Source organism: Homo sapiens, chromosome 13 (genome assembly GCF_000001405.40).
Source record: "Homo sapiens chromosome 13, GRCh38.p14 Primary Assembly".
In the NCBI taxonomy this organism is placed as follows: domain Eukaryota; kingdom Metazoa; phylum Chordata; class Mammalia; order Primates; family Hominidae; genus Homo; species Homo sapiens.
The window spans coordinates 79791163-79809447 of NC_000013.11; the positions used below are offsets into that span (position 1 = coordinate 79791163).

At 41.4% G+C, this 18285-nt stretch overlaps 2 long non-coding RNA genes across 2 annotated transcripts, besides 3 other annotated features; both read left to right on the forward strand.

Annotated features, from left to right (window-relative positions):
• Positions 335–1191: an enhancer, noted in NCBI's record as "H3K27ac-H3K4me1 hESC enhancer chr13:80365632-80366488 (GRCh37/hg19 assembly coordinates)". NCBI's record gives its function as "activates a minimal SCP1, AML or CMV promoter by ChIP-STARR-seq in primed H9 embryonic stem cells {active_cell/tissue: H9 hESC(primed)}" and the evidence as "EXISTENCE:reporter gene assay evidence [ECO:0000049][PMID:30033119]".
• On the forward strand, positions 2329–4121 carry LOC124903226 (uncharacterized). The gene is made up of 2 exons (XR_007063893.1): positions 2329–2734; positions 3924–4121. It is a non-coding gene; the product is annotated as an uncharacterized LOC124903226 (long non-coding RNA).
• Positions 4122–13223: 9102 nt separating this feature from the next.
• On the forward strand, positions 13224–14520 carry LINC01038 (long intergenic non-protein coding RNA 1038). Its single transcript, NR_125785.1, has 2 exons — positions 13224–13322; positions 14163–14520. It is a non-coding gene; the product is annotated as a long intergenic non-protein coding RNA 1038 (long non-coding RNA).
• Positions 16017–16993: an enhancer, noted in NCBI's record as "H3K27ac-H3K4me1 hESC enhancer chr13:80381314-80382290 (GRCh37/hg19 assembly coordinates)". NCBI's record gives its function as "activates a minimal SCP1, AML or CMV promoter by ChIP-STARR-seq in primed H9 embryonic stem cells {active_cell/tissue: H9 hESC(primed)}" and the evidence as "EXISTENCE:reporter gene assay evidence [ECO:0000049][PMID:30033119]".
• Positions 16994–17969: an enhancer, noted in NCBI's record as "H3K27ac-H3K4me1 hESC enhancer chr13:80382291-80383266 (GRCh37/hg19 assembly coordinates)". NCBI's record gives its function as "activates a minimal SCP1, AML or CMV promoter by ChIP-STARR-seq in primed H9 embryonic stem cells {active_cell/tissue: H9 hESC(primed)}" and the evidence as "EXISTENCE:reporter gene assay evidence [ECO:0000049][PMID:30033119]".

An 18285-nucleotide genomic window follows, 5' to 3' on the forward strand; every position in this document is an offset into this window, starting at 1 on the left:
GAGAAGGACTTGACCCTTGGTTTACTAAATCCTGGAGCCATGAGGACCAGCTTGATGCTGGGGCAGGTGTAGAGCCTGGGTCTCTGGTGGCCAGCATGATGTCTAGGATCATGAGTGCTCTCCTAGGGCCTAGAGCCATGGGAACCAGCTGGGAGGCTGTGTCTTCTGGAGTTAGCCTAGAGGCTGGATGTGTGGGTGCTGCCCTGGAGGCTAGGCCCATGAGGGCTGCCTTGGGTCCTGCAGGCTTGCCTGGAACCTGAGTCTGTGAGGGCTGGTCTAGTGCTGGGGTCCACCAGGATAAGCCTGAACTCTAGGTTCTGCTTGAAGTTGCTGTGGGTCTGTTGCAGCATGGGGCCACATGTGCTAACCTACAGAGTGGGGCTGCAGTATCTACCCAGGCACTGGGCAGGCCTGAAGTCTGTGTTTGCAGGTGCCATTCTGGTATCTGAGACCAGGTGTACTGACTTGGTGCTGGGGAGGGCCTAGGACCTAGGGCTGTGTGGGTAAACCTGGTTCTGGGCTAGCCTGAAACCTGAGCAGGCTGCAGGAGCTGGACTGGAGGCTGGGTCCATGGTGCTAGTCTGATGATTAAGACTGCAGAGGTGAGTCTGCTGCTGGGGCAGGCCGAAGTTTGGGCCACTGCAGCCACTCAAGTGCTGGGGGTGGTCCAGGCTTGGGGCCACTGAAGCCAGCCTGGCCCTGGGGTGGGCCCACAGGCCTAGTCCACTGGTACTGGCCTGAAGTCTGGCACAATGGGGGCCTGCCTGGCACTGGATTTTCCTGTGGTGGGCTTGGTGTTGGAGACCAAGGCAAAGTTTGGTCCTCGCTTTCCTCTCTTTCCCCCATGTGGAAGGTATCTCTTTCCACACTGGGCTGCCTGGGGTTGGGAAACTAGTGACTTAGGTAATGTGAAATTGTCCTTCCTAGCTGCTCCTATGTGTCTCAAAATTTCTGTGCTATACCCAGGTGTTCTAATCTCTCATCTGGTATCCTTAGCTCTTGTGAAGGTGGTTTTGTGGATAGTTAGTTGTTCAAATTAATATTTCTGCAAGAGGAGCAAGTGTTACCAAGTCCTATTTTACCACCTTGCTGACATCCACTCCTGGTCTTTCTTCTTCTGCGCATTGCTCCCTACAGCAGCTATCTTAGCAACAGCTGTATTAGTCCTGGGTATAAAGTTTCAGTTATGCAAGATGAATAAGTTCTGGAGATCTAATATATAGCACAGTGACTATAGTTAACAACACGGTATTGCATACGTGAAATTTTCTAAAAGGGTAGAAGGTAAGTGTTCTCATTATACACACACAAAAAGATAACTGTGAGGGGAAGGATATGTTAAGTAGCTTTGTTGGGGTGGTTATTTTACAATGTATACATATGTTAAAACATCAAGTCATACACCTAAAATATCTACAATTTTTATTTGTTGGTTATACCATAATAAATCTGAAGGAAAAAAATAATTAAGGTTGCAGCTGCCCAAGATGTGGTAGATTGATTGTAAAAGTGGCCCAAATTAATGGTCTCTCTTTATCCGTGCCCTTTGCAATGTGTCTTTGCAGTTACTCTCATCAAGGGTTGCAGTCTATTTTCCTACCCTTTGGATTTGGGCTGTATTTGCTTTGGCTAACAGATTGTGGCACATATAACATTATGTTAGTTCCCAGGCTAAATCTCAATAGGCCATGTGTAACTCTACAATGCTCTGGAAACTTTGCTTCTACCATGAGGACAAGCCCAAACAAGCCTATTGGAGGATGAGAGAACTAGGTAGTAGAGATGACTTGTCCCAGCTAAGGCCATCTCACACTGGCAAGACCCAGCCCAATCAACACTGACCAATGCATAAGCAAGCCCAGCCCAAATCAGCAAACTTGACCCAAATCAGCAGAACTACCAGTCAACCCATAAACTAATAAGCAAGAAAGTGTTGATTGTTCCATGCCCCTGAAACTTTATGGTTGCTTGTTATGCATCATTATTGTAGCAATAGCTAACTGATAGAAAAGATCATTCTGCTAGAGGGTAGTAGAGACAGGACCTACATTCTGAACCTACATTCTGCCTCTGGAGTCCATGCTCTTAACCACTACATAAGTGCCATCCTTGGAGCACTTTTTCCATAATCTAGTAGAAAAAATCTCAGCAAGAAATATATTTTGATAACTGAAATAATACAAGAACAATTTGTTAGTACCTAAAGAAGAAAGTAGTTAATTTTGTTTGGATGCAAGAGAGCAAAGAAAATTGTGTAATCAGACACTGTAATGGAGGAATTATCATCAGAGCTGTGTTTAGGTGGAACTATCCAGGTAAACAGGAAGGAGAAGGACTTTTTGTGTAGTCTATGTGAAAGAATCATTAAAAGCTTTTAATCTAGGAAATGCTACGATGATGTTCATGCTTGGAAAGACCAATCTGGCAGCAATACGGTAAATGCATTTGGAGGTGACTGTGATTAAAAGGAAGCGGAGCCTTCTGGTTCATAATAATATAGATAGGTCATAATATAGTGTTCTGAGGTCATAATAATACAGAATTCTGAAAATACTGAATAATGGCAATGGTGAAGATGGAGATGATAAAACATCAGTACTTCTTTGGGGGAAGAGTGGAGACAAAAGGCTTGTTGAGGAAGTGCTATTTGACTAGGTTCTTGAAGAATGAGTAGATTTAAAGACTTGGAGATGATATTTTAGTCTGAAGAAATGGCACAGATGATGCCATGAAGGTAAAGAATTCTAGATTATTCTCAAAATGCAGGTCTTATAGGTAAAGTTCATGTGAAGCCTAGAATACAAGGTTGATTACTGAAGAGAAATAAGGAACTGTTTCTAGGGTTATAAAGCCATGGACTATTAGATCTTTTTCAGATCAGCAAGTTGAGTTGAAGTTGTAATGTGCAAGGCCTTGAAAATTAGGCTAAGGGGTTTAAATCAATTTAGACATTCTTTGGAATCACTGCTAATTTGTGAACAGCTGTGAGCAAGCATTTTGTGAGCCATAGTTTATTTAATACTAGGTAGTTCTCTGGCATTTTGTAAGAGTCTGGGAGAGAGATTAAGATGCTTCTGGTGGTGGGGAAAATAAAATGTGGGTTTGAGACACATTTATGGGTTCTTGACCCAGAAAAACTTATGGGAAATTATATATGATTCTACTGACAAAATGACTTTAAGATATTAAGCTTTATTCATTGTCTTTAATAAAAATAATGCTGAGAACAAGGGACAGACTTAATTGTTTGAGTTTGGTTCTAGAAAACCTCTGAAATAGACATACGGAGCACTGAAACAGAACTGTATGTCTGGAGCTTTGGAGGAAGAGCAGGGATAGAGGATTAATTTGGTAGACATTCATTTTGAGGTATTATTTTGATGCTGCAGAAATAGATATTACAGAAGAAGGAAGGGAAGAAGGCAAGATACAGAGAAGATGACCATATAAATTTATCCTCCAAGGTGGGGCACTGTTGAGAGTGAAATGCATTATTATTAATAATTATGCCAGGACAACAAGCTACATTAGGATAGTCCCAAGGCAATTGAGATATGTTGACATATTAGAGAAAGAGGACAGACTGTGGAGGCTCTTTGAGGTTGGTGATTGACAAGGAGGAAGGGCTAGGAGAAAAAGTACTAGAATAGGGAGGGGTTGGCTCCTTTTTCTGAATCCGCTCCGAGTAGGGAGACTGAGCAATCAGGAGGTGTCTATTGAATTGGGCTAAAGAGCCTAAGTGAAGGGCTATGAGCCCTGAGGAAAGCAAATATCACTGGAGCCATGGTTTATTTAAAAGCTTCCACTCACAAAATAGTATCTGCTTTTGAGGGGTTAAACCTGGCTCTTCCTCAACTCTCTGCCACCTATATTTTTCTCATGTTAGAAAGAACTTCCTACTCTCTCCTTTGAAACATCTTTAGGCTCCTCCTCAGCATGTCCCAGGACAGTTTTATAGCTCTGTATGGAATGCAGATGGATGGCTGCCTGTTTCCATTTCATGCTTTGGATTTACAGGTGCAGGTTGTATAGCTTCTCAGCGTTACTGAAATTGGAAAACATTTCTAAAGCTTGCAGCATGTCAAGCCCTGTGATTTTGAATAAAATTGGATTTTACAGTCTGTTGTGTGGCTTTAATATTTCTTATGCTGAGAAAATTATAAAAATAAAGCAACACACAACAAAACAACTGCTCCGTGTGAAATGTCTTCTGTGTTTTATTTGAAAATAGTTTGAATTGGGAAGGTGAAACTGCTTTGTTAAGTATAAACTGTCATGAAAATATTAATTCCTATATGCTTATTTTTCTTGTGATTTAGGAATATCATGGTATCCAGTGCGTCAGGAAGGGGCACTCTATCATTGGGTGGTAGCTTTTAAACTAAGCTGCTTCTCAGGCAGGGGTTAGCTTGACCCTGGAGGGATCGTTTTATGGCTGATGTGGTAAATCACTTTGACACAAGATGGTTCTGAAAAGCTCTAGGAAATTTTCTTTGAGGTTCCTGGGCAGCTCTATATCTTGCCACTTGCCCTGGTTGGGTAATGAATCCCACTTATTCAGATGAAAAGTTCCGAGTAGGCAAAATCGTCATTTTCTACCTTTCCCCAGTTTTTTTCTCACCATAAAATAAGTTCCACTGAACTTTTTCTGTTCACTTATATCTATTATTGATCTGCTCAACCAAATTTGCAAAATTGAATGTTAAGCCCTTGGCACTGGCCAATGGCTTGTGTATTTTAAAAAGTACACAGTAGTTTAAGATGTTCATAATGTATCATTCATTTGTTGGAGGGTGGATGTATGCTCAATTTTCCAAGTAAAAAGTTACAAAAAATTTTCTTAAAAGATATATTCTTTAAGGTATCTACTAACTAATAGAATTCCACAAAAATGCTCTCAGAGTAGAGTGAAGTAAGTTACCATTATCCTGTTTGGTTGTAAAATTAAATAATCCCAAGTGTTTTGAATTGGATAAGGACTTTAAAGCTCATGTAATCAAACTCTCACCTTTCAAGTGAGGAAGTAGAGGCTGAGAAACAATGGAACTAGCCTACACCCACACCCACACATCCTGGTGGCCAAGTGAGGCCCAGACCCCAATCACTGGCATCCCAGCTCCATGCTTTCCCCACTGTGTGACCAGCATGACAGATGTCTCCTGATCAGAAAACCAGAGCACTTCAGAGAGCAGTTGTCTGACACTACGGGTGATATGTGAGCCAGCTGCATGGCATATGCTTTGTGTTCCTTAGAGAAAATTTCAGAAGCTCAACTGTTTATAGACATAGGGCACATTTTTGGATGCATAGGTCATTCGGAAATGGCAAAGATGCTCTTCAGGGTCACAGATCTGGCTTCAACACCTGCAATTTGTGTAGGTGACAAGTGGATCTTTGATGAAAGGTAGAGACATTTATAGGAAAGGAAGAATGTAAATTGTTCGCCATGCAAATATTTACCTGAATTGTCTTCCCTTAGTGAAGGAAGTATTTTAAGCAGGATCACTTGCTTCTGTGGTGTGAACTCCCTTATAGACTGATCAGTCTTGTCCTGCTTCCTTCAGAATACTGTGTGATACCATGATTGAGATGGCAACATGTTCAACGAGTGCTGCTCAATTGTTACATAGGTGTCTTGTGGCCATGTTTCCAAACCTCAAATCAAGACACAGTTTGAGTAGCCTGACTGTGCTCAGTGTGCCTATGAAAAAGAATATTTGAAACTATGCTGTTCATAGAATTCTGCAGTGAATGATTACCTTGACTATGCAGCTAAAGAGATGTTCATGGAAGAAAACGGGGATGGCTTTAGAAAGAATTTTGTGAAAAGACTTTAAAAAAAATGATGCACTCCAATTCTGCCTCTAATTCTCAAAAATGACACCCATATAGGTATCCAGAAGATACCTCTGCTATGAGTCCACAGTCCTCCTATTAAAGAGTCATTTTAACCATGAAATTGCAAAAATTTTAAGTGTACAGTTTGTTTAAAATTATGCAATTTGATTGTAAGTACTAAAGGCTCAAGTTCCAGTTGATTAAGAAATGACATTAGAAGCGTTCATAACCCCTTTGTATAAAATAGATACATAAGCACATATTTAGCTCTAAAATAATATTTGGATTGGTTTTGCCTCTTTGGTTCCCACTGGGTAGAATAAAATATACTGTCATGATATAGAAGAAAGACATATATACAAATATCTCCTTTTTTTCTTGGCGCTATGGCCATATGAACTTCAGGAAGGGAAGTTTTGATTCCTGAGCGCTAGCTGGAGTGCTGTTTTTGTGGCACCCTCCGCAAGACATCAAAATACAGTAGGGTTTTCTGGGATGAAATCTACAGAGCAGATCATAAAGGCTGCTTCTGTAAGGATGAATTTCTTATGGAAAATTCCTAAATATTTTGTGGAACTGAAGGAATGATACTCCACTCTATTGCAAGGGATTTGAGGATGACCCAAAGGTTGGGAATTAGGAGCAGCAATAATTTTTCTGGGGATTGCTCAGGCACATGGAAATGAACAAGGGCACTTCAGGAATACTTTCTGGCTCCTATCTCTGTTTTTGACTGCAGTGCATTCCCAGAATCAAAGTCTTCCATCCCCATTCCTTCTATTTTAGAGTCCTTGAATACAGGATCATTAACAATTTCCCAGAGCAATTTAATATAATAGAATTAACTCCTAGAAGAGAAGGGAGGTAAGAAGAGGAGGGAATCTGTAAAAGAAATCATGCTGCTCAAACAAAAATAGTGTTGAGCTTTCCAATAAAATTCCATTGAAATGACAATGTGCTCCCTGAACTCAGTTAAAATAGTTTAGTGGTTATAAGCAGATTATTTGGATTCTGTATTATTACCTATTTGTCCTTAGCCCATTGTTCAATCACCTTACACCTCAGTTCCCTGATCTATAATCTGGGAAATAACAAGGTCTCTCTCACAGGACTATTATCAGGATCAAATGAGACAAAGTACCTAGTTCAAAGCACATTTACAGGCTTACACCTGTAATCTCAACACTTTGGGAGGCCAAGACAGGCAGATTGCTTGAGTCCAGGAGTTTGAGACCAGACAGGACAATATAGTGAGATCTTGTCTCTACAAAAAGAAAATTTAAAAAATTCACTGGATGTGGTGATGCACACCTGTAGTCCTAACTACTCAGGAGGCTGAGATGGGAGGATAGTTTGAGCCCAGGAGGCAAAGTTTGCAGTGAGCTGACATTGCACCACTGCACTACAATCTGGGTGACAGAATGAGACCCTGTCTCAAAAACAAAACAAAGCACATTTACATTAGTGCCTGGACTTGGCAAAAGTTCAATAGCTAGTAGCTATATTATTGTCAGTATTATTACTACTAGTACTCTTACTACCACCACTGTAATATTATCGAGTACATGGCTATTTATGTAAACCATGGGAATTCTCAGTTATTCATTCAACATAAATTTTTCAGAAACATTATGTGTCAGGCTAAGGACTCAAGAGACATGATATGAAAGACACAAGCTGGGTGCAGTGGCTCATGCTTGTAATCCCAGCACTTTGGGAGGTTGGGGTGGGCAAATCACTTGAGCTCAGGAGTTTGAGGCTAGCCTGGGCAACATAGTGAGACCCCAGTCTCCAAATAATAAAATTTTAGAAAAGATACACATATCTACACATATATAGAGAGACACTGTAGTAACTGAATATAAAATGTATATAAATAAATATATTAAATATATATTTTTCATGTTTGGCTCAGAAGGACCTTTATTTTTGTTACACAGCAAAATGAGCTTTGGGTTTAGGGCATTACTGACACAAAGACACTGATAGGGCCATGGCCAGATGTCATATTTTTATAATTTAGTCCCATGACCCAATATTAAGAATTTAAATAAGCTTCAAATCAAGAAGGTCATCATAAGCTAATGACAAGTATTTTGACTTTATGTTAGAGCCAAACCGGAGAGGATGATAAAAAGAGTGAACTCAACTTGATTTTGTTTTTGTTGCAGCTGGATTGCTGTCATTTAGGAACCATTTAACAAACAGACAATAGACACATGGCTTTATTTATAGCAGTCTGGAGGGAAGGAATGCAGTCAATTGCACATGTCTTCCGCAGTAGTTTAGCTACAGAATTATCTCTGTCAGGTGGAGGATGCATTAGGCAAACATAAGCTCATTCTGGAATGTAGGCAAATTGATCTCTAAATGGGTGTGCTGGTGAATTAGGCAGGGCAATTTTACCTGGAAAGTGACAGTTTTACAAGTTGGAGAAATTCAGTGCAAGGAATTTTTCAAAAAAGTTCTTGAAATAAGCATCAGAATTTTTTAATTGTTCTGCCAATTCACAGATTTTGAGTTAAAATTATCCTAATGAATAATACCATTGATACTTCCCACCATGTGTGGGTAATGCCTGGCCTGTTTCAATTGCACTGCTCTGATGGTATCACACTTATACCCTTCACTCTGAAATAAACATTCTCCAAAGCTCTCAAACAGATAGTGCTCAGAGTTTTCCCCTGGGTCCTCTTTTGAATTAAATCAATTAGGAGAAGGCCATATGTTCACCATATGTATGTCAACTTGCCAGGGATTCTTAAAAAGAGACATTTAAAAAAAATCACAAATCACTTAAAAACACACAAACTGAGAAAGAATTAATCAACTAGTTAAATCTCTATATAAATCAAGACTTGATTAAAATTAGACAAGATAATGTCTGTCCTGATTATTATTATATTGTACTTCCATTTTTTTCTCATTCTCATATGCAATTAATTTCTCAGGCAGTATAGGGAATCATTCACTCTTTGTGAAGTTTTCTTTACCTGTTTATTCACCTGGAAAGAGTGAAATGATTGCCAGGCTATTGATAGTTAATCTTAACAAAATTCTTCAGGGTTCAATAATCCACAGATTATATGCACTAATATTTGGTAAGTATTTTTGGCTGTCCTTCGTTAACTGGATTGTGAAACTGCCATGGCATGTTAGAGTTGGGATGTGCAGAACAGGTCTCTTGGTCTGACTTCTTAATTGTACAGATGCTGTTATTTAATTTTGAGTCCCATAGAGTACCTCTCATGATGCTTGGCACATAGCAAAAATTCCATACATATTTTGAAAATGGAAATATTAAGAAAACTGAGGGTTAGAGAAGTGACATGAGCAAGGTTACCTAACTAGAGAACATGTCTTCTGACTCCTAAACATTTTGCTTCTACTACGAACACTAACGAATATTCTCTTCCATGGGTTACCATACCCTACTGTATTGTCACTCATGCTAAGTACAATGTTCTCACCAGGGCATTTCTCATAACTGTCCAATCCCATCTCACTTTTCTTACATGTCCCTGTGTTCTAGTCCATATGTTACCTGAATTTACCCTCATGTCTCCTTTTTTTTCTGCTTTTGCTTGAACTCTTCCCTTCACATTGTTCATTTTTTCTACCCATCTCTACTTTCAAAATCTTCTGGGCCTCTTAATGTGATTGGGGTGAATTCAATAAAGAGTAGAGAACTGGGACCTCATCTGGTTTAAAAGTAGTTGATTATAAACGGCAAATATCCTAGGTGATTTCCAGAAGGGTGGCAGAAGTATGTCCTTGAGTACATGCAGTGAGATGCATAGCTTTGATTAAGAGGAATCGAGGGACTAAGAATGTGGACAAAGATTCTTGAGTTAGTCTGGTTGGACTTAGCCCTGAAGAAAGGTAGAGGTACGTAGAAATTATTTTTAAGGCATCACTCTTCTTCCTTTCTCCCTTCCTTTTGTTCTTCCCCCAGATGCAGTCAAAGTTGTTCAGAGTTCTAGTGCTATCCCTATACTGGTTGGCTTTACAAAGGTCAAAATAGTACAAGTTCCTCTTGCTTCTTGGTTTTGTCCTATACCAAAAACAACAACAATGGCTATGTAGTGCTTCCCATGTGTCAGGAACTGTTTTAGAAAATATACGTGTGTGTGTGTATGTATGTATATGTATGTGTGTAAATATATATGTGTGTGTGTATATATATCTACACGTGTGTATATGTGTGTGTGTATATATATCTACACGTGTATATGTGTGTCTATATATCTACACGTGTATATATGTGTGTGTCTATATATCTACACATGTATATATGTGTGTGTGTATATATACACACACGTATAGATGTGTGTGTATATATATATTTTTCCCCTTTAGTCCTCATAGACAATTTTTGGAGTAAATACGTTATTCTTCTTTTACAGATGAGGAAACTGAGACATGAAGAGGTTAGACAACTTGGCTAGATTACCTAGCTAGTAAATGGCAGAGGCAGGATTTGAATCCAGTCAGTCTGGCTTTTTGGTGTGCACTTTTAATGGAGACATATACCCCTGATGTATATCCTCTTTTCCTCTAGGACCTGCCCACTGGGGTATGGTCAGTGGAGTATAGTTAATTCTGCTTCTACTTGTCTATTCTGGCTGGAATTTCTCTTTGGCTTTTGAAGAAATAAACTTTTTTCCTTTCTTTATGTCTTTTCAAGATTGAGTATAGTCCCTTTTATGCTAAATTTAGTTTTCACATAATTAAATTAACTCATTTAAATCACATTAAAAAGTGTTTTTACTTACTTTCCACTTTCAGTCTTATAAATTATTCAGTTAACTGTCCATGACTTTGACCTTAAATTTCCCATTTTTGTTTCTGCCTTCAAATCTCTTTGTTTAGTAGGAGTTCCTGCAGCTCTGCATGGCTGTATCTTTGGGCGGCACTCACCATAAAATGCAGTTGAAGCTATTTTGCTCTTCTCCAGGCAGACCACTATCTTCCTTTTCGATATCTTCTTTCAGATACCCATGATGACTGCTTGCATCTAAAAGTCCACTCATTGAGGGTTTTTTTTTAAATAACATCCTCCAAATATCTGAGATCTATTATTTACATGTTGAATGAGACGTTTTGGCTCCTAAGTTATGTACACGGGTACAGAAGAGACTTGGAGAAGAAATATATAATAAATTTATTTTTCTACTGACATTGTGGCAAAACAATACAGAGACAACTATGTTCTATATATTTTTATTTTGGCAAAGATCCTTGAATCGAGGTTGGGAAAAACATTGTTAACATAAAAATGATGGAAGTGCTTATAGTAAACTAGAATGAAGACAATGAAGGTAATCATAGGCAAGGAAAATGTGATAGTTCAGGTGAAAAACAAGGAATAGCTGTATAAGATAAATTTACAGTAAGAAATGCTGAAACATTTTGGGAAGAAGAATCACATATTTTATGGGGAGAAGCACTTATATTTGAAGAGGACATAGATTCAAAGAAAAAATAATGAATGGAATGGAAGTATTTCATTGTATTTTATCTCTTGCTATAACAGGAAGTAAATAGACAAAATGAAATTAACACTTGGGACTCAATGCCCTGGTGGGTTTCCTGGAACCTTGCAAAAGGAAGGGCCATATGGTAAGGAGTGCCTCTGTGACAACATAGGCTCAGCTGAAATTTCAAGGATTATAAATATTCTTGTTTCATCTTATAATTTGATGACCAGCTGGCATTGGGAAGTATAACATTGCACAATTAAGTGCCTATGGGTTTAAAAAAAAAAACTTCCTCAGTAGCATCCGGATTTGGCCCCTGAAAAACAGAATGTGGCACTACTCCAGGATAATCATTAATCTGCCTCAGTAGGGCATCTTCCCACATGGGGGCCCATCCATAATGGTCTGTTGTAGTGATCTGTCACACCATATGGGGAAAGATGAAACAAGACACTGAGCAGCAGAGGGACACACAACATAACTTGGAATCCTGGCAAAAATGGAAAAGAAGGAAGGAAGCATTGCGTATCATCTGTCCACCTAGCTGAGTAGAGGTCAAGTAGTTAATTACATGCCCATTGCTAGGTCTCAGAGTATCATACAGACATAGAGGGGAAAGAGAACCAGCAGGGAGAGTAAATCAGTGTTTCTGGAGAGGTACCAAATTAAATATTAGGGACCAGTTGAATGGGAGAGAATGAAGCTCCTGGAAGCCACTGCTATGCTATGTATACAGTGCCTGCTCATGTAGCAGGGGGATTACAGACAAGGGCTATAGGGATAGGATATAAAGCCATGAGTGTGTCTAACCGTTCTTTATTATGGTAGTTGATGAACTCTATGCCCTTTTACAGTTCAGTTTTTACCTATCCCTTGTCCCACCCTATGCTGCAGCCACACCAAACTACTTACAGTAATTCACATTTGTCTACTTGTTAGAGCTCAGGCCTGTCTGGAAGAGGAAGAAATGAATAGTTAGATGGGTAGTTGAGTGGGTCAGACGAATGCATGCATGCATGAATGAATAAATGCTTGCATGCAGCAACACTTCCCATAACAAGTCAGCTACTTAGCACAAATGGTGGCAGTTAGAGCGTTCATCTCCTGGAAACAGAGTAGGCAGGATGCTAAAGCAGGGCAGTAGCAGGTGAGGTGGGGTAGTAGACATAGTAAAGAGAAAAAAAATGATATTTTGGGGGAAATTGTGTGATTTTCTTATTTAAATCAGAACTTTCCCCATATAATCTACTTTTCCATGGTGCTTCAATTATTTAATACATGGTTTTCCATTAGCTTGCAACATTTTAAAACAGCAATCAAAGGTACATTTTTAATGCAACATGTAGGATTCATAGACTAACAGGTGTTAGGAAATGCAGACTGGGAAATGATTGCAATCAAATGGGATAGACGGTATTACAGCACATACTCCCTCAACCTTCTCCAGGTAAAACTGAACTAATGTCAGCTCAGCTGCAGCAGTGACAAAAGGGTTTGGTGACTGGGGGGAAGGAGAAGGGGTAAATAACCTGTCTTTAACCTTTCAGGAGATGGAGCTCACTCAGCAGGCAGGACCTCAGGGCTATGGGAGAGCAACTGCACTGTGCAAGCACAGCCAACAGGAAGTGAATGCAAACACATTCTCCTCAACATAAACACACACAGACTTCACCTATGGCTGAACTTCTGCCCTTGGGTGACCAACACCATTAGGACGCGGGTCAAAAGGTTGTAGTGTGACAGAAAATGCAGCCTTATTGAATGAAAGAGAAAATGAAAAATTCTTTTGTTTGCTTCACTTTGTGGTTTGTATAGCTACTGTGATGTCATAATGGAGTCCAGAGTGGGAAAAAGAAGTCCCTGCTATATCGCTGTCTGAGAAAGGCAGTCGGAAATTGTTAGGCATGAAAGAAAAAGTCGTATGGAAGACCTACACAAAATAAAAGCAAGTCTCATTACTTTTCAAGGGGAGTGTAGAAGCGATTAGTCTCTGATGATAATAAGGTATGAGAGCAATGTCAGAAAATTTCTCTTCCCATTATGCAGAGGATGGAGGAAATACAGATGCAGAGACACAGCTTGCTGACACACTCCCCTCCCTGCCTCTCCAAGGCACCCTCATCACAGTAGGCCAGGAAAAAAAATCTTATGCTTAAAGCTGTATGATCTGGGAGCACATTATATATATATTTATATATATTTATATATACACTTGTACACACACAAAAAAAAGTGTGTGTGTTCAAATATGTATGTATGTGGTATGTGTGTGTATTTCCAAATACATATATACAAATCATGTACAAAAAGGCATGTAAATATGAAGCTTACCCAGCAGATTGCATAACCTCACAAAGTGTAAGAACTGGAGATCTCATGGTGTGTTTGGCTATTACCATCCGTTCAAAATTTGAGCAAATTTGCAAGTTCTGGATGATTCTATTCCAGAATGTTTCTTCAGGGTAAAAAATTCTGATCATTTATCAGGGTAAAAACTTCTGACCATTTGACTGAGAATAGCCTGTGTTCAAATTCAATCTATCATTCTGTTGGTAAAGATTACATTTAAACAAAAAAAGAGACTACGTTGCATTGCTGAGCTTGTGGAATTCCAAAATGTCTGATTTTATTCTAGAACCTCTATTACTATGTGCCTTCTGATAGGTTGGATTTTAGGAACATATTGTTTCCTCTTACTATCTGAGCAAGTAATGAACTATTGATTTTCAAAATGAATTTATATTCGAGATAATTGAGCAGGTTTTTGGAAACACATAATACTATTATTTTTTAATGCAGTTTTCAGTAATCTGAATTAGAGCATTCATGATTTTTGTTTCTTAGGGTACCCCCCATGTAAAACTGCCACAAGCTCTCAGAAGTGAGACTTTAGCTCCTTACAAATGCTGAGCAGACGTGAACACCCTCCTGGGAGATTGATGAGTCCTATTAACCTTGTTGCATAGATGGAAACTCAGAAACAAAGTGACTCTGAGGATTAAGAGGAAGTCAATGTCAGCACCAGGATTAGAATTCACACTTGCCTGGTTTCTCAGCCCACAACCAGCTCCCCCATGGATTCCTGCTTTGTCTCCCTCCCCAAGTGAGGGGACAGGGTGTTTCCAAACTTTAAAAGAATCCTGTTATCCTCAGGCCTCTGCCTTGTAGGAAGATCCTTTCTTTTAATAAATTACAGAGCTGAGAAGTGACTTTGAGGTGATTTATTCTAATCTCCCTATTTTATAAGTGGGAACAAGGTCATAAAAATGCTAGAAACAATAAGAATGCCCAGTTTGCAGAAATATAATCGAGAGGCAAGTGGGTGTAGTGAAAAGTACTGGATAGAATAGGCTTTGGGGGCCTGGGTTTGAAGACTGGCTTTGAATCACTGAGCCTCAGTTTCTTGTCTGTAAAATGTAGAAAGCAATATTGCCTTCAGTGTTCTATGAAGATTAAATATGTGAAGTACATAGACGTTGTAGGCACTTCTTCAATTTTTTTGGCCATCCATGTTTTCATCTTCTTTCCTGTTGTACTTCTAAAATTTTTCTCTGTGAGAAAAACAATATTCAAATGTTCCCACTTAAGGGTTTAATCCCAGGTCAGTGGGATTTTGTGAGACTTTAGTTTTGGAACTTCGTTGAACCCAGTGTCAGGAATTAAGACCTGACTGTAGCCCTTGGCAGTTTAATGCCCAGAGTTTTCAGTGTTTTTCTCCAAGGTTAGCATTTGAAGAGCCCCCACACATAGAGTCCAGGGGGCCAGGCAGGCAGGTAGGTAGTCTGTGGAGTGGGGGTCACATCGAGTGTCAAAGTTCTGGAAGGTGTCACTCAATGGATGGGCACCGATGCAGATCCATAACTGAAATGTTTTCTCTACAGTCTGGGAGCCCCGTATTCCTTATTTGATTGCCCATTTCCTCATTGTCTTATTTCTTTTTTTTTGAGATGGAGTCTTGCTCTATCACCCAGGCTGGAGTGCAGTGGTGCGATCCCGGCTCGCTGCAACCTCTCCCTCCTGGGTTCAAGCGATTCTCTTGCCTCAGCCTCCCGAGTAACTGGGACTACAGGCACACACCACAATGCCTGGCTAATTTTTGTACGTTTAGTACAGACGGTATTTCACCTTGTTGACCAGGATGGTCTCGATCTCTTGACCTTGTGATCCACCTGCCTTGACCTCCCAAAACTGCTGGCATTATAGGTGTGAGCCACCTCGCCCGGCCCACTCCCCCATTCTCTTTTGCCAGTCCTCCAGAAGAACATCTACTTCTCACTAGACTAGCACACTCTTTGTTCTCTAATGAATCACTAAGCATACTTTGCCTTATTTCCTCCAAAAGGGGATTAGCAATTCATCTTCATGAGTCTGAAATGGGCACAATATCTTCTTTTACTCTTCAATTTTGAACTGGGAATTTCCAGCCAAAAACCTTGAGAGGATGTTTGGAGGAGGAGGGCACAGAAAGGAGACCTCTGCCAAGGAAGAAGAATCTCTGGCCTTCGGCCTCCTGGAGGGGTCTCTAGGCTTATACATTTAAACTATGCAAAACCAGAATGGCCACCAGGAGGGAGGATTTAGAGCAGGAAGGACTGGGAAATTTTTAAGAAATAATCCTCTCCACATAATGAGATTATTGTACTCATAACGATGACTGAACATCTTCTAAGTGCTGTGCTCTGTGCTGTGCTGTTCAGATACAATGTCTCATTTAATTATCAAAATGACTTTCAAAAAACTAAAAATACAACTACCATTTAGCAATCCCACTACTGTGTATATACACAAATGGAAAGAAGGCATTACATCAAAAAGACACCTAGCTGTACCTGCATGTTTATTGCAGCATTGTTCACAACATTGATGGCAGCAGTGCCTATCTAGAGTGGCCGCTGCCAAGACCCTGGCTGCAGTAGGGAGGTGGGTTGGGCCTTCTGCTCCATGGAGCAGGCAAGAGCCTCGCCCTCCTGGGTCTCTGCAGTCAGTACCCTCAGGGGTCAAGAAGGCCCACCTGCCCTACCCCCATCTCCACAGGCTGGGGGTGTCTGCTCCTGCTGCCTGGCCTTTCCTTGCTTGTGGTGCCTGCTCCAATCTCAGAGCAGGGTTGGGGCCGAATTCGGGCACTTTCACAGCCTGGTTGGGTGTGCGCACACTTGGGGCAGTGCTGACATGCCAGCCCCCTGCTACCTCAGCCCCCTCTGGGCTTTGGGTGTCAAGGAGCACAGGAGGGGAAGCTGAGCAGGTGCTGAGGGCAGCTCGGCACTGGCCTACAAGTTCCCCTTGGTGCAAGCAGCCTGGGCACCATGGATGGCTGTAGGAGGTGGACAGGCTCCTGGGTGGAAGAAGGCAGGTCCCCAGTGAAGCCCCTCCTTCAGGCTCAGGGAAGGCCTGAAGCCTGGGGACCAGGCTGCCAGTCCTGCCTACCAGAGGAGGAACTCATAGTGCTTTTTCCTGGGACCGCCCATGGCTGCCCATGGACCAATCAGGATGCACTTCCCCGCACTGGGGCCCATAAGAGCCCCAGGCTCAGCCAGAGCAAGGCTGACAACAGGTCTACCAACTGCAGAGAGGAGCTATGCTTTCTGCTGATAGCTGGAGAAAGTTGGGACAACCAGAAGCAGAGAGGAGCTTCCTACCTCAGGGATGACCTGCCTGCAGAGAGGAGTAACCCACTCCAGGGCCTCCTTTCTGCTAAGAGCTGCATAGATCATGGGATGACTTGTCAGCAGAGAGGAGCCAGCCACCCCAGGACCTCCCTATCTCTACTGAGCTGTTTACTGCTCAGTAAGGCTCCTCTTCTTCTTGCTCACCTTCCACTTATCTGCATGCTTCATTCTTATTGGTTGCAGGACAAGAACTTGGGGCCTGCTGAATGGCAAGGCTAGAAGAGCTGTAACACAAACTGGGCTCAAACATGCCACTTGCTCACCACATTGCAGGAGAAGAGATGGGGAGAAGAGCTGCAGCCCTTCAGGGAGCCCAGACCTGGGAACTTCCTGAGCTGGGGCTGTGACTCCTTCTTTGGGGCCCTGCATTTCCTGGCATCTCTAAGCTTCCAGATGCCACTGCATTCCCCAGTGCCAGCTGGGGAAGCTGCTTGCAGTGTGCCTGGTCCAGCTGCAGCCTCGCAGAGAGCTGGCACCTGTGCTGGCACCTGGAGCTGCCTGCCCCACTGTACCAGCCAGCAGACTGTGCACAGTGGCCAGACCCCATGCTCTCTCCCTCACACACCCCTCACTGCTCCATGCCTGGCTTGCCCTTGGCAGGCGTGGGACCCAGGCTAGTAGTGTGAGTTGAGTACAGCCTGCCAGGCCAAGTGGGCAGAACAAGCTAAGCAGGCCCGAGCAAAAGTCAAGCAAAGGCACCACTGGCCACAGAGATTTCCAGCCAGAAAAGCAACACCCCAAAGATCCCATAACCATAGCAAAGGTATGGAATGAACCTAAGTGTCCATCAATGGAGAACTGGATAAAGAAAATGTGGTATATATGTACCATGGAATACTACTCAGCCATGAAAAGAACGAAATCATGTCTTTTGCAGCAACATGGATTGAACTGGAGGCCATTATCCTAAGTGAAATAACTCAGACACAGAAAGTCAAATACTGCTTCTCACAAGTGGGAGCTAAACAATGGGTACACATGGGTATACAGAGCAGAATAATAGACACATGGCACTCCAAAAGGTGAGAGGTGAGAGGGGCTAGGGCTCGAAAAATTACTTATTGAGTACAACGTTCATTATTTAGGAGATGGGTTCACTGAACAACTAGACTTCACCACTGTGGAATGTATGCATCTAAGAAATCTGCACTTGGCCGGGTGCGGAGGCTCACACCTATAATCCCAGCACTTTGGGGGGCCGAGGCAGGTGGATCACCTGAGGTCGGGAGTTCGAGACCAGTCTGGACAACATGGCAAAACCCTAAAATGTCTCTACTAAAAATACAAAAATTAGCTTGATG